Source organism: Homo sapiens, chromosome 6 (assembly GCF_000001405.40).
Source record: "Homo sapiens chromosome 6, GRCh38.p14 Primary Assembly".
NCBI classification, from domain to species: domain Eukaryota; kingdom Metazoa; phylum Chordata; class Mammalia; order Primates; family Hominidae; genus Homo; species Homo sapiens.
In genome coordinates this window covers 116,731,932-116,748,744 of record NC_000006.12, presented here as the reverse complement: position 1 = coordinate 116,748,744, position 16,813 = coordinate 116,731,932, and the positions used below count along the sequence as shown (strand labels likewise).

At 34.8% G+C, this 16,813-nt stretch overlaps 1 protein-coding gene across 9 annotated transcripts in view; it reads right to left on the bottom strand.

The window, feature by feature from the left end:
• Positions 1–6,877: 6,877 nt before the first annotated feature.
• KPNA5 (karyopherin subunit alpha 5) overlaps positions 6,878–16,813 on the bottom strand; it is a 60,657-nt gene continuing 50,721 nt past the window's right edge. For 5 of the 9 annotated variants that reach the window (NM_001366307.2, NM_001366305.2, NM_001366306.2 and 2 more), the window contains one exon: positions 6,878–16,609. In NM_001366307.2, coding sequence (NP_001353236.1) covers positions 16,422–16,609 — 188 coding nt within the window. In that variant the 3' untranslated portion in view covers positions 6,878–16,421. The remainder of the gene's footprint in view (positions 16,610–16,813) is intronic. The other 4 variants (NM_001366304.1, NM_002269.3, XM_017010841.3 and 1 more) reach the window with 2 other exon arrangements.

Here is a 16,813-nt window from a genome sequence, read left to right as displayed (position 1 = left end):
ATGTTGCTGTTCTGAATAGAAGATAGTATGACCCTTGCGGATGGAAATTGGACAGTTTCTAGCAAAACTGCATGTTTATGGACCTAACAGTTTACAGTGATTTTCACTGTCATACTATTTGCAGTAGCAAAGACTGAAAACAATTTAATTGTCCATCAGTAGAGGATTGATTGAATAAATAATGCTAGGTTCACACAATGGAGTACTGTGCAGATGTGGTAAGAAATGAAGAGCTCTGCATCCTGCTATGGAATGAGCTACAGAATAGAGTTAAGTGAGAAAAGTGCATTGGAGGAAAGCATATGTAGTATTCAGTAAACGGAGGGGAGCTGTAAATGTATTTATTATTATGTTAAAAAAACAATGGTAGTATAAACCAAGAAAAAGTTTTTAATGTTATATATAGAAGAAAGGAAGAAATAGGTGGAGGAGAGGCAGTGATAAAAGTGAAACTTTTCTGCATATAACTTGTTTTATCCTCTTGAACAATGTAAAGGTCATATATTAAATAAAATTGTTAAAAAAAGTGGTCAACTTTTTTAAAAACTCAAAACCAAAATCGAACAGATAAACCCGTGTATTAAATTGGTAGGATGGCCAGATGGAGAGTGAATATTTCAAGTGATTTAAAAATATTTCTAGTGGTATATACTCGATGTTTAAAAAAGATATCCCCTCCCCATCTCCCAGAAAACATTTTCAGTAAGCAAATTGTGATGATTAATTTTAGGTGTCTACTTGACTAGATTAAGGAATATGCAGATAGCTGTTATAACATTATTTCTGGGTGTATCTGTGAGGGTGTTTCTGGAAGAGATTGACATTTGAATTAGTGGGCTTTTAAAGAAAATGCACCCTCTGTGTAGACAGGAACCATCCAACCAGCTGAGGACTTAAAACAAAAAGGTAGAGGAAAGATGAATTCATTCTCTCTTCTGGAGCTGGCATATCCATCTTCTGTCATTCATTGGTCATCAGACCTCCAGGTTCTCTAGCTTTGGACTCTAAGACTTGCAGAAGCCCCGTGGATTCTAGGGCTTTCACCCTTACACTGAGAGTTATACCATCAGCTTTCCTGGTTCTGAGGCTTTCAGACTTGGACCAGGCCAGACTACCCACCTTCCTAGTTCTCCAGCTTGGAGATGGCCTATTGTGAGACTTCTCAGCTTCTATAATTGCATAAGCCAATTCCCCTAATAAATCCCTTCTCATGTGTCTATCTATTGTTATTAGTTCTCTCTGGAGAATCCTAATACACATACTATTAGTGATAATATTGGTATTGTTAATATGACAACCATACAAATATATATTACATATATAAAATGATACAGCAAGTGAGTTAAAAGGAAAAAACACACACACATTTTTTGGGCCAGGCGCAGTGACTCACACCTGTAATCCCAGCACTTTGAGGGGCCAAGGCAGGCGGATCACCTGAGGTCAGGAGTTCGAGACCAGCCTGGCCAACATCGTGAAACCCTGTCTCTACTAAAAATACAAAATATTAGCCGGGCATTGTGGCACATGCCTGTAATCCCAGCTACTCAGGAGGCTGAGGCAGGAGAATCGCTTGAACCGGGGAGGCGGAGGATGCAGTGAGCTGAGATTGTGCCATTGTACTCCAGCCTGGGCAACAAGAGGGATACTCTTGTCTCCAAAAAAAAAAAAAAAAAAAAAAATGCCAGGCGTGATGGCTCACACCTGTAATCCCAGCATTTTGGGAGGCCAAGGCGAGCAGATTACCTGAGGTTGGGAATTTGAGACCAGCCTGACCAATACAGAGAAACCCCTTCTCTACTAAAACTACAAAATTAGCCGGGCATGGTGGTGCATGCCTGTAATCCCAGCTACTCGGGAAGGTGAGGCAGGAGAATCGCTGGAACCCGGGAGGTGGAGGTTGTGGTGAGCCAAGATTGGTCCATTGCACTCCAGCCTGGGCAACAAAAGCGAAACTCCATCTCAAAAAAAAAACACAACAACACATTTTTCTTAGTTCTGTCCATTGATAGCAATGGACAACACAGTAGTAATATGCAGTCCTAGCGCCCAGATCTTGGTTTCTAACTACTATTTCATATTAAAAGAAACCCAGGGCTCCCTCCTGAGTTGGCTTATTCCAGGTCTGGTACATGAAATACACAGGATGGTCCTGGAACATCTGGCCATACAGAAAATAAGGAAGCTAATACAGCTTTGAGGCTATGTCCAAAGACCTCTAGAACCAACCTGACAACAGTGCCACCAGCCAAAAATAGGAACATCAGCAAGAATAGTAACTGGAAAAGGTTGAACCTCTTCAAACAGATTTAAATCTGTGAGTTCAAAATAATAAAACAAAAACAAGAAATCAGGTCACTGTTAGAGAAGGCCAGGGAATCACATTATTTTGAAAATAGTTAAAGGAAAGGAAGAACTGAAATTGTCTCTGTTGCTGATGATGTGATGTTATACATAGAAAGCCCTAAAGCCTCTTCCAAAAAAGCTGTTAAAACTGATAAAGGAATTCAGTAAAGTTGCAGGATACAAAACCAGCAGCATTTCTATAAACTAACTACAAATTATTCAAGGGAGAAATTAAGAAACAACTCCATGTACAATAGCACCAAAAAATACTGAAAGATAAATCAACCAGAGAGGTAAAAGATCTACATGCCAAAAACTATAAATAAAACATTGAGAAATGAAATTGAAGAAGACATAAATAAATGGAAAGATATCCTGTGTTCATGGATTGGAAGAATATTGTTAAAATGTCCATAACTATCCAAAACAATCTACAGATTCAATGCAATCCCTATCAAAAGTCTAATGACATTTTCCACAGAAATAGAAAAAGAAATTCTAAAATTGGTATGGAACCACAGAAGACTCCAGATAGCCAAAGCAATATTGTTTAAAAAGAATAATGCTGGAGGAATCACAATATCTGATTTCAAAATATATTACTAAGCTATAGTAATCAAAATAGCATGGTACTGGCATCAAAACAGACACAACAAGCAGTGGAAAAGAATAGAGAGCCCAGAAATAAACCCACATATCTATATGGTCAATTGATTTTTGACAAAGGTGTCAAGAACACCCAATGGAGAGAGTCTTTCAGTAAATGGTGTTGGAAAAACTGGACATCCACATGCAAAAGAATGAAATAAGACCTTCATCTCACACTATGTAGAAAAATCAACTTGAAATGGATTAAAAACTTAAACATAAGACCTGAGACTGTAAAACTAGTAGAATAAAACAGAGAAAAGCTCTATGACATTGGTATGGGCAATGATTTTTTGGATAAGAACTCCGAAGCACAAGCAACAAAAGAAAAAAGACAAATGTGATTACTTATGAGAGAGGAGATAAAAAGAGACTAGCTAGGCAGATAGTTAAGGCAAAAAGTTCTTGGCAGAACTTCCCTTCTAACAAAAAGCAGCCAAAGAAATCACTTTTTTACTAACAAAGAGCAGCCTGGAAGATCGGGCTGCAAACAGTGATAAGGAAGCTGGAAGCTTGCATGCGGGGAATGTCTGCAACTGCACCGGTAGAAAGGGGTACCTGGGGCCACGCATGTCCACCATGGGGGCTCCACCTCCCCCTTTTTTTTAGCACGTGCACAGTAGGAAAGCAATGTGGAGTCACTCAGGCAAAGGACCCCCAGCATAATAAAAGGTTGGGGTGGGGGATGCCAGAGATTCACATTCTATGCAGATAGCATACCTGGTCCTAACCAGTTTTTTGTGCCCTATGAGATAAGATACTGCCTCCCCACTAACTCACTTATAAAACCCTTGCATTTCACTGCTGAATGGCAACCCTTTTGTGACCGCTCTCTGCAACAAACAGTTGTTCTCTTTTGTCTATTAAACGTCTGCTTCTGCTCTGACCTCACCCTTGGCGTGTGTGCGTCCTTGATTTACTCGGCCATGAGACCAAGAACTTCAGATGCCACCCCAGGTAATGAGGCCATTTCACTTCAAACTAAAAAAAAAACTATCATAGCAAAGAAAACAATCAATAGAGTGAAGAGAAAGCCCATGGATTAGGAGAAAATATGTGCAAATTATATATGTGATACAGAGTTTCTATCCAAAATATATTAGAAACTCAACTCAATAGCAGGAAAAATAAATTACCCAATTAAAAAATGGACAAAGGACCTGATAGACACTTATCCAAAGAAGACATACAAATGGCCAATAGATATATGAAAAAAATGCTTAAAATCATTGATCATAGGGAAATACAAATTAAAATTATAATGATACATTACCTCACATCTGTCAGAATGGCTATTATCAAAAAGATGAAAGATAAGTATTGGTGAGGATGTGGAGAAAAGGCACCTTTTGTACACTGTTGGTAGAATGGAAATATAGCTATTATAGAAAAAAGTACAGACATTCGTCAAAAAATTTCAAATAGAATTACCATATAATCCAGCAATCCCACTTCTGGATATATATCCTAAGGACTTGAAATCAGTATGTCAAAGTGATATCTGCACTTGCATGTTCATTGCAGCATTATTCACAATGGCCATGATATGAAAGCAACCTAATTGCCCATCAAGGAGGAATGAATAAAGAAAATGTGGTAAAATGGAATACTATTCATCCAACAAAAAGAGGAAATTCTGCCATTTACAACATGACTGAATCTGGAGGACATTATGCTGGGTGAAATAAGCCAGGAACAAAAAGACAAAAACTGTGTGATCTCACTTATATGTAGAATCTAAACAACTCAAACTCATAGAAGTAGAGAGTAGAATGAAGGTTACCAGATTGGGGGATATGGAGGGGATGAGGAATGGGGAGACAGTCAAAGGGTACAAAGTTGTCAGTAACATATGGAATAGGTTTTAAAGATCCATTGCACAGCATGCTGACTATAGTTAGTAACCATGTATTGTGTATTTCAAAATTGCTAAAAGAGATTTTAGCCAGGCACGGTGGCTCACGCCTGTAATCCCAACACTTTGGGAGACTGAGGTGGGGTGGGCGGATTGCTTGAGGCCAGGAGTTCTAGACCAGCCTGGGCAATATGGCGAAACCCCATCTCTACTAAAAATACAAAAAACTAGCCGGGCATGGTGGTGCACGCCTGTCATCCCAGCTACTTGGGAGGCTGAGGCATGAGAATTGCTTGAACCTGGGTGATGGAGGTTGCAGTGAGCCAAGATCATGCCACTGCACTCCAGCCTGGGTGACGGAGTGAGACTCTATCTTGAGGAGGGAAAAAAAAAGAGTAGATTTTAAATGTTCTCATCATAAAAAAGGGTAAGTAAGGTGACAGATATGTTAATTAGCTTGATTTTTATCATGTCATGATGCAAATATATTTAAAAAACACAATATACCCCATAAATATATACCATTATTTCTCAATTTAAAATAAAAAATACATTCATGAAAGAAAAAAAGTCTAAACAAATGGAAAAGCAAAAAAAAATTTAAAACAATTACCATGTTAAACTAGTATTTCTGAATCTATAGTCACTGAGCTAACTACAATATCATCGTGATTAAATAAGATTAAAATCTTTTTAGTTTTTGAAATGTTGCTTATTATACTTTAAAAACGCATTTGTACAGCTGATTATTTAAAACTGGAATTAAATATCAATTAGTGGAGTTTGACATCTTTCAAAACATAGACTCTAGAGAGAACAATAAAAAGGGGTGCTTGTTCATTTAAAAAAAAAAAAAGGATTTTCCCCCTTTTAAAGTATAATTTCTATCCCAACAAAAAACTTAGTGGCAAATCCCCAACACTAGGACAGATTTGTCAGTTTTACGGGTACAACTGGAATACCCCTTCCTTACATAACAGAATATTATTCATATAAGTTGTCTTCAACTTTCACACAGAAAGTGTGATAGCTTTAAAAGAAATTTACCTTAATGTACGTGCTTCAAAATACAATATTGAAGGATTATCCTTTGAAAAATTTTAAATCCCACTCTAAGATGCAAGCAGGAATAGATGTATAGATGTTCACTTGAATACAGTAAGCTGTGACAATTACTGAGCTAGAAAGCCAATATTTTAAATTTTTATACCAATAGGATTTTCCTATTTGTTGAACTTTTTAAATTGGCGTCTTCTCTTCATGGTGTCTTAGGGCACAGTCAGAAATAAAATAAAGTAGGTAGGTTCAAGTAGTGCTTTCAAAGATGTGAGAGTTTTAAAACACACCAATATTTAACTCTTATTTTTGTGTGTCTTATTCTGTTAGGAGTATATAAAAAATAGGCTGTGGTTAGTACAACAGAAATCAGTATCAAATGAAGGAGAATTGTGTTATCTAATAGAGGGATTTCCAAAAATGACTTCTACTTTGGGTTAAATATGTTTATGTAAAAAAGAACTCTCTCTCCATAGTCAAGACTTTTAGATGTCTATTATCGGTAGAAACTTGTGGTTCTTTATACTCCTGTTTACATTTCATGAGGTAGTTCATACATGTATTTTCAAGTGTAATGGGTAATGGCCAGTGTATTTGTTAAAAACTATACATATCACATGTTTATGTAGGTACGAATGTATATTCTATATACACATGTGTATTCTAATATATTTCTGAGGCGATGTTAATGAATTACCACATGCACAGGAAAAATAATAACTGTCATCTGACCCATAAATCTGCATTTGTGTTTTAGTATGTGTATATAAAAAGTTATTTACCCAGTAATGTTATTTGACATCAAATTGCAACAAATAAAATTTCTTGGTGCTAGTGGTTTGCATGATAAACACAAGTTTTTTGTGTATTTATGACCAGCACTTGGATTGGGTGAAAAGATAGTTACCCCTGTGGTTCAAGAAGGGGGAAAATAAAAGACCTGATTGTTTCATAAAAAGCATAAAACATTAATACACAAAGTAGATTCTTTTATTCTGGAATTGTGACTGAAGGACAGTCATGGGGATTAAGAACAATGCTTTAAAAAAATCTTGCTTCCCTTCAGTTAAATCATTTCCTTAACTGTTTCCTGTCACCGCTTTTTTGTTGTTTTTTGTTTGTTTTTTAACAGTAAATCCCAGAACAAAGGTTTAATAATCTTCTTTTCCATCAGCTGACTGCTTTTTTGGATGGTAGGCATTCTCTGGTGCATTGGTACAGAAGACTTCACCATGGAAGCTCATGCTTGATCTTTCAATATGATCATGATATTTTTCCTCTTGGCATAATATGGCTGCTGTGTCCTCATCATTCAATGAAAAAGTCTGTCATTTCTACCACAAAGACCAAAGGGAAAATATTTTCAAATAAGTTTCAACTATTTTGTTAAAATTCACTTAACAAGTACTCTGAAAATGTCAACTATTGTTCTGTACTTTTAGCACATAAATGTACAAATTCTCATCTGAACCTTAAAAAAAAAGATGTAATTCTAAATTTCTATGCACAAAATAATGTAAAAAACATATAAAACACAAAAAAATCGTCAGAACTATATGGAAAATTCAAAATCCACCAATCATCTTGGGAGATTTTAACACACCTCTCTTAGAAACTGGCGAGTTAGAAACTGATGAATTAAGCAGACTAGTATGTAAAAGACATGAATCAATTAACAAAACACATTCTTTTCTTACACACATGGGCCATTTCACTAAAACCAACACATATCAGATCATAAAGCAAGTATCAACGAATTTCAAACTCATGTAATCACATCACAACTTAGAAGTTAGTGGCATATTTTTAAGGTCTGAAATTTAAAAGTACATTTCTTTTTTTTTTATTATACTTTAAGTTTCAGGGTACATGTGCACAATGTGCAGGTTAGTTACATATGTATACATGTGCCATGTTGGTGTGCTGCACCCATTAACTCGTCATTTAGCATTAGGTATATCTCCTAAAGCTATCCCTCCCCCCTCCCCCAACCCCACAACAGTCCCCAGAGTGTGATGTTCCCCTTCCTGTGTCCATGTGTTCTCATTGTTCAATTCCCACCTATGAGTGAGAAGATGCGGCATTTGGTTTTTTGTTCTTGCGATAGCTTACTGAGAAGGATGATTTCCAATTTCATCCATGTCCCTACAAAGGACATGAACTCATCATTTTTTATGGCTGCATAGTATTCCATGGTGTATATGTGCCACATTTTCTTAATCCAGTCTATCATTGTTGGACATTTGGGTTGATTCCAAGTCTTTGCTATCGTGAATAGTGCTGCAATAAACATATGTGTGCATGTGTCTTTATAGCAGCATGATTTATATTCCTTTGGGTATATACCCAGTAATGGGATGGCTGGGTCAAATGGTATTTCTAGTTCTAGATCACTGAGGAATCGCCAAACTGACTTCCACAATGCTTGAACTAGTTTACAGTCCCACCAACAGTGTAAAAGTGTTCCTATTTCTCCACATCCTCTCCAGCACCTGTTGTTTCCTGACTTTTTAATGATTGCCATTCTGACTGGTGTGAGATGGTATCTCATTGTGGTTTTGATTTGCATTTGTCTGATGGCCAGTGATGGTGAGCATTTTTTCATGTGTTTTTTGGCTGCATAAATGTCTTCTTTTGAGAAGTGTCTGTTCATGTCCTTCACCCACTTTTTGATGGGGTTGTTTTTTTCTTGTAAATTTGTTTGAGTTCATTGTAGATTCTGGATATTAGCCCTTTGTCAGATGAGTAGGTTGTGAAAATTTTCTCCCATTTTGTAGGTTGCCTGTTCACTCTGATGGTAGTTTCTTTTGCTGTGCAGAAGCTCTTTAGTTCAATTACATCCCATTTGTCAATTTTGGCTTTTGTTGCCATTGCTTTTGGTGTTTTAGACATGAAGTCCTTGCCCATCCCTATGTCCTGAATGGTAATGCCTAGGTTTTCTTCTAGGGTTTTTATGGTTTTTGGTCTAATGTTTAAGTCTTTAATCCATCTTGAATTAATTTTTGTATAAGGTGTAAGGAAGGGATACAGTTTCAGCTTTCTACATATGGCTAGCCAGTTTTCCCAGCACCATTTATTAAATAGGGAATCCTTTCCCCATTGCTTGTTTTTCTCAGGTTTGTCAAAGATCAGATAGTTGTAGATATGCGGCATTATTTCTGATGGCTCTGTTCTGTTCCATTGATCTATATCTGTTTTGGTACTGGTACCATGCTGTTTTGGTTACTGTCGCCTTATAGTATAGTTTGAAGTCAGGTAGCGTGATGCTTCCAGCTGTGTTCTTTTGGCTTAGGATTGACTTGGCGATGCGGGCTCTTTTTTGGTTCCATATGAACTTTAAAGTAGTTTTTTGCAATTCTGTGAAGAAAGGCATTGGTAGCTTGATGGGGATGGCATTGAATCTATAAATTACCTTGGGCAGTATGGCCATTTTCACGATATTGATTCTTCCTACCCATGAGCATGGAATGTTCTTCCATTTCTTTGTATCCTCTTTTATTTCATTGAGCAGTGGTTTGTAGTTCTCCTTGAAGAGGTCCTTCACGTCCCTTGTAAGTTGGATTCCTAAGTATTTTATTCTCTTTGAAGCAATTGTGAATGGGAGTTCACTCATGATTTGGCTGTTTGTCTGTTATTGGTGTATAAGAATTCTTGTGATTTTTGTACATTGATTTTGTATCCTGAGACTTTGCTGAAGTTGCTTATCAGCTTAAGGAGATTTTGGGCTTAGACAATGGGGTTTTCTAGATATACAATCATGTCATCTGCAAACAGGGACAATTTGATTTCCTCTTTTCCTAATTGAATACCCTTTATTTCCTTCTCCTGCCTAATTGCCCTGGCCAGAACTTCCAACACTATGTTGAATAGGAGTGGTGAGAGAGGGCATCCCTGTCTTGTGCCAGTTTTCAAAGGGAATGCTTCCAGTTTTTGCCCATTCAGTATGATATTGGCTGTGGGTTTGTCATAGATAGCTCTTATTATTTGGAGATACGTCCCATCAATACCTAATTTATTGAGAGTTTTTTAGCATGAAGCGTTGTTGAATTTTGTCGAAGGCCTTTTCTGCATTTGTTGAGATAATCATGTGTTTTTTGTCTTTGGTTCTGTTTATATGCTGGATTACATTTATTGATTTGCGTATATTGAACCAGCCTTGCATCCCAGGGATGAAGCCCACTTGATCATGGTGGATAAGCTTTTTGATGTGCTGCTGGATTCGGTTTGCCAGTATTTTATTGAGGATTTTTGCATCAATGTTCACCAAGGATATTGGTCTAAAATTCTCTTTTTTGGTTGTGTCTCTGCCCAGCTTTGGTATCAGGATGATGCTGGCCTCAGAAAATGAGTTAGGGAGGATTCCCTCTTTTTCTATTGATTGGAATAGTTTCAGAAGGAATGGTACCAGTTCCTCCTTGTACCTCTGGTAGAATTCAGCTGTGAATCCATCTGGTCCTGGACTCTTTTTGTTGGTAAGCTATTGATTATTGCCACAATTTCAGATCCTGTTATTGGTCTATTCAGAGATTCAACTTCTTCCTGGTTTAGTCTTGGGAGGGTTTATGTGTCGAGGAATTTATCCATTTCTTCTAGATTTTCTAGTATATTTGCGTAGAGGTGTTTATAGTATTCTCTGATGGTAGTTTGTATTTCTGTGGGATCGGTGGTGATATCCCCTTTATCATTTTTTATTGCGTCTATTTGATTCTTCTCTCTTTTCTTCTTTATTAGTCTTGCTAACGGTCTGTCAATTTTCATAGGTCACGAATAAATCATAATATAAACTTTAAAATACTTAGAGCTGAATAACTTGTGGAATGCAGCTGAAATGGTACTTCAAGGTAAATTTTTAGCCTTCCCAAATTAAACATTTAACAACCTTAAATGTTTAGGGAAATTAGGGAAAGACTTAAGAATAAATCCAAAGAGAATAAAAGATTGGAAATTCTAAAATTATGAGCAAAAACTAAGGAAATAAGTAAAAAGACTATAATCACTATAACTGAATTCAGCGAAAGTGATTGAGACAAAAAGGCACCAAGAAAACAATATGAAAAATGATCAAAGCCCACATTAAACAGAGATTTTAAAAAGAACATAGATTGGTATGCTAACTTCTGCTTTAAGCCAAACTAGAGTAATAGGGACCAGGACAAAAACATGAAACAACAGTTTCCAGACATTAGACATCAGATAATGAGGAACCGTGATCTATGAAACAGAGGAAACAAACTAGTTGAGCCCTATGACTGCTCTGTCTCTTACTGCCTAGAGTTTCACGATTGCAGGGCAAGGAAGGGAAATTCAGGTATAGCCACAAAGTCTCTGAGATGGGGAGAAAGAGTTAGGAAGCCAGGGAGGACAAAACTAGAGTTCACAAGGTAGAGTACCAAATGTGACAAAACTACACAGATTGCTCCAGATTATCTGCAGAGGATTCCCCTTTGAGTCTTCAGCCAAGTACTATTGACCACATGTGACTACTACCCAAGGCCTTCTAAAGAATCACCTGAAAGCACAAGGGGAAACAATTTTTGGAGCCCACAATGATCAGGAACAGTTTAAGTTCCACTAGCCAAAGTGAAAATCCCTTGTAATTCATAGGGTAATAGAGTACTCGGAATGGTACTGACTCAGCAGTAAAATAAACGTTGTTCTGTGCCTGCCTTACAAAGTTTAAAAGCAAGCCTTTAAAGGATCACATTTTTTCCCCTAGTAACTTGTGTTAAGAAGAACAAATATGGGAAATTCAATATCCAAACATGTAAACGCATGCAAATGAAAAATACAACTCATAATAAAAAAATCAATAAACAGAAACAGAGCAAGAAATGACAGAATTAGTAGCAAGGCCATTCAAACAGCTATTATACTTGCTGTGTTCAAGCCAGCAGAGGAAAGCTTGAGTATGATAAAAAAAATGGAAGATATAAAACAGATCCAAATTGAATTTTTAAAGATAAAATACACAATGTCTGACATAAAAAATACACTAATGGAATTAAGAGATTAGACACAGCAGAAGACAAGATTAGTGAACTTGAAGACGAAACAATGAAAACTATACAAAATGAAAAATAACCAAAAATGAGCAAAGCATTAATAAGCTGTGTGAGTATTTCAGGCAGACTAATATAAGCGGAATTGGAAATGAAAAAATGTTTAAATAATTGCTGTGTTTTCAAATTTGATGAAAACTATAAATCCATGGATCCTAGGAAGCTCAGCTAACTCCAAGAACAAGAATTGGTTGCTTTGGGGTGTAAAATATGCATTTAAAACTTTGTGTTACTCTCACGTGATTTAAAAAACATACTGTAGCCCTGCACTCCCTACTGAGCACTTGAAATATGGCTAGTGCCAGTAAAAAAGTGAACTTTTGCTTATGGTGATGGCAGCACATCTCTGAATTTATTAGAAAATCCTATTTTTATTGCTCAAAGAAGAAACTTTGTACCCAGTCACCTCCCATTTCCAACTTTCCCCAGTCCTAGATACTAATTTATTTCTGTTTCTATAGATTTGTCTATTCCGAACACTTCATATAAATGGAATCTGGTTTCTTTCACTTAGCCTAATGTTTTCAATGTTCATCCATGTTGTACCATATATCCATATTTCATTTTATTACTGAGTAATATCCCATTTTATGAATATAACATTTTATTTATCCATTGGCTGATGAACATTTGTTTCTACATTTTGACTATCATGAATTGATCCCTTTATCAAATGACCCTCTTTATCTCCAGCAATAAATATTCCTTGCTCTGAAATGCACCTTGATATGCATTATATGGCCACCCCAACTTACTTTTGATTTGTGATAGCATGGTATATCTTTTTTCCACCCTTTTCACCAATTTGCTTCTTGAAAACATTTTCTTAGAGGCAAAATACGGCCTTACTTTTTTATTAAAACTGATAACCTCTGCACTTTAATTGGCATGTTTAAATCATTAGTAATTACTGTGACTACTGATATAACTGAGTTTGATCTTTCTTGCTATTTGTTCCATCTTCATTTGTTTTTTCTCTTTTTCTGTCTAGTTTTGGATTAGCTATTTTTTATAATTCTATTTTTTCTCCTTTGTTAGTTTTAGAAAGTAAATGGATTTTTAACCAATAATAGCATCTGTCTTTGTTCTGTTAGGAAACAACAATCTTAAGAAAAAATGAAATGGACACATTTATATAAATGCAATTTTAAAATATTTTATTATTTTTAATATAGTGTTGTAACATTTCATAATATTGCATACTACTCAAAAGTTGGTTTATTTAGTAGGGTAAGAATATCTTCTCTTCTTACTCCCCAGTCAGAATTTAAAGATATACTATCCTTTTAGAGCTCTATTATATTGGCTCCTAAAATGTCACATTTCATAAAACAGTAATGCTATAAACTAAACTGAATAAAGGTTAAGAACAATTTGATTTCACAGTTTCGCAAGCAGCCAGTAGATTGCTGAATTGAGAACCATAACAAAAATTCACTAAGACTTTATATTTATTTTTCCATAATGCTCCTTCTTAAAAGAAGAAAAAATATAAAGGCAAAGGTAATATATGCTTCTTTTAGTCCCTTATCCAATAAATCAACCTTTAACTGCAAATAGGTTTTACAGTTACCAAATGATATGTTAGTTCTGTGCCAGCAGAATTTATTACTTTTTTGCTTTCTTGTTCTGGTGTTACCAGTAAGTTGACCAAATGACACTAAAATTTAAGGACACTATCACTTAAAACAACGTTTTGAAATAAAACACAGTAAAAAGACCACACCCAGTGAGTCAAGTGCTTATAAATATAAAACAAGCATAATTGCATAGATTAAATAGGAGAAATTCAGATTCAGACAAAATAAAACACCAAATTTAATTAAATAAATGAAAAGGACTCTTTCAAGTATTTTCTTGATATTTGCATTAATGCTACATGCATTCCTCTTTATAACACTTTTTTTCGGCATAGTTTCTCTTGGATTTAAATATAACAAATCTTAGAAAAGCAAGTTAAAAAAGTATTTTTCCTCCCACAAGGGCCAGTGAAGACTACTGAAAACACTTTTTGGAGCATTTTATTTATTTTTTTCTTTTCTTTCTTTCTTTTTTTTTTTTTTTCCTGGTCAGGGCTCTGCCTGATGAAATATTTTAAATGGTATACTTGAAAAGAGTAGCTATATTTTTGAAGAATTTTCATCACAAAGTTATTTGTTAGTCTTGATCCAATAAACTCTTAACAATAAGCCAAGCCAAGCCAAGCCAAGAGCTGGTCCCAACTGCTATACAGTGCTCTTTGCAATCAAATCTAAAATTAATTACCCAAGTAATATATTTAAGGAAATAAATAAAACTGTATTTAAATGCTTATGAAGTATAATCACAGTCTGTAGAGATATGTTTGTTTTACCGGCAAAATTTAAGTTTCCTTTCACAGGTCATTCTGTGTGCATGCATCAACACACACATATTTATTATTTCTCCTTCTATAAGAACTATCTTGTTTGAAAAATTTGGCTTAGAAATTTATTATAGTGACTACAGGGTCCTCAAAATAAAAGGAGGCACAGCTGGTTAGTTTATGAATCATGCTGCATTATCAATTTTAATTGACTAGAAAGAGTAGAATACCCTGTCACCTGATACTTAGAACCATCTGCACCACAAAAAGGTTAATCTGATAAATTCACCATCAATTTGGTAAGCTTTAATATAACTACCCTGTTTTTTGAATACAGATAATGCAAAAGAAAACCATTTTATACTCGGCTATATACCTTCCACTACGAAAAAAGGGGCACAGATACAATCTTCTACTTAATAATAAAAAAGGGCTGGCAGATGCACTCAGCATTACGAACACCATTTAAACCTGTATTTTACAGCTGTAGGTTTTAAGTATCTTGTCAAAAGCTTAGTTTCATGATATGTAATTTACAAAGTGACATATTCTTTAAAAGTACTCCTATATACATTTTCCTCTTGGAACGTGCCTCTGATTTCCAGCAGAAACATTACAAATACTATCATAAATGAAATCTTTTTTTAAAGAATAGACCATGAATCATATCAAAATTGCCTTAGTTCTCATCTTAAAAAGAGTTGTAAACTAAGTTTTAAGTAAGTATTCTAGGTATACAATTGGACACATAAATAGCCTACGTATAACTATAAATTAAAAGATTGAGTTCAACAGTAGTTGAACTGTGAGAGTAACACACACACATATATATGTATAAATATATATATAATTTTTCTATTGAAACCTTTCTTTCAAATTTTCCGTTTGAAGAGGTTTTTGCTGTTAAATCATAAAACATACATATTGATCAATCTGACATGAATGTAATCTATGATTCATAACAAGCAGCAGAATGACCCTCTGAGTATTACTAAAAGAAAAAAGTCTTATAGATTTGAACCATATTAAAGAACCTTTAGCAATTTTCATTATCATTTAGCATCCAAATGTTAAATGCATTTAATACAATTTAACACATAATAAGGTTATTTCTTCAGGGTAATTTTGTCATTCGAGTACCTAAACTTGTACTTGTACTTAAACTTAAACTAGTACTATTATACAGAAAATGAAACTTTTCAATTACTGCTCTGAAAAATCAGAGAAATAATTAGTTATTATTTTAGATATGCAGCACTACTTTAGATTCATGATGACATCTCTGTCATGATGCTCTTTAAAACAATGAGTGAAAAACAATAAAACACTATTTCAAAAATGGTAGCATATTTGGTTGAAATACAAAATATACTAATATACATAGCACTTATATGTTAAAAACAGAAATATTTAAACATTTTATAAAGTAATCTTTTTAATGTGTTCAACATGAAAAACAGCTTCTCCCTTCACAATTGCCACATTTTAATGGATTATCAGTATAATATTTCTTCTGTTTTATAAATAAATTTTATAGGTTTTCTGTTGCAATTTTTTGCAAAGTATAACCTACAGCACAGTGATATGTATAATTTAAGGTAATAAATATTTTCACATTCTAATTTAGCATTTGCATTATTTCATGCTTCTGAAGCTTTTTTGTTTTTATTTCTGCTTCAAGATAGAGGTAGATTTAGTAGAGATTAGATGTGTAAGACTTACTGCCAAAATGCAATTATCAATAGGTTTACTGCTAATGTGCAGTTTCCAAGAATGCTTGAAAAAATTCAGAATTACTAAGTAATGCTTCACCAAAATTCTCCTTTTCAAGCTTAAATTACTAAATAATTGCATATTCAATTATTCACAAATAGATACAAAAATCCAAACAATAGAAGATATAAATACAGGCACAACAACAAAACTAAAACAACAACAAACTACAATGAAAGGTTGCATCTGAATGGAAATTTTTGTTTCATTTTGCTTTCTAAAAGTGCATCAAATTCTCTTTACTGTTCTATGTAAAAAAACAAACATTCTTACATTGGCAACAAAGAGGAGTTACCTGAAGCTACCCTTTTTAGCCATAAATTTTTTTTCCTCCAGTAAGTTAAAGTTGAAATCCATCCATTGGTGCTTCCTGCTGCTGAAATATAAACTGTTGTTGGTTTTCATCCACCTGAGGTACAATGCTGGGGTCATCTTCTTCTACACCAAAGTAATGTTCAATCAGATCAAATGCCTTCTGGTAAATTTCCTGATTTTCATGGCTTTGCAAAAACTCAATTTTATCCAGACCTGTTATACAAAGTATATATATATATATATATATATATATATATATATATATATATATATAAACAAACTGTTACTACAATTTCAGTATATGTTTAAATCAAAATAATAAGTGAACATCATCTATCACCTCACTGGCAACGGGACTATTTTAATCTAACTGTTGCACATACCGATAGCCATCACTTACGATTTATACTTCAAGAA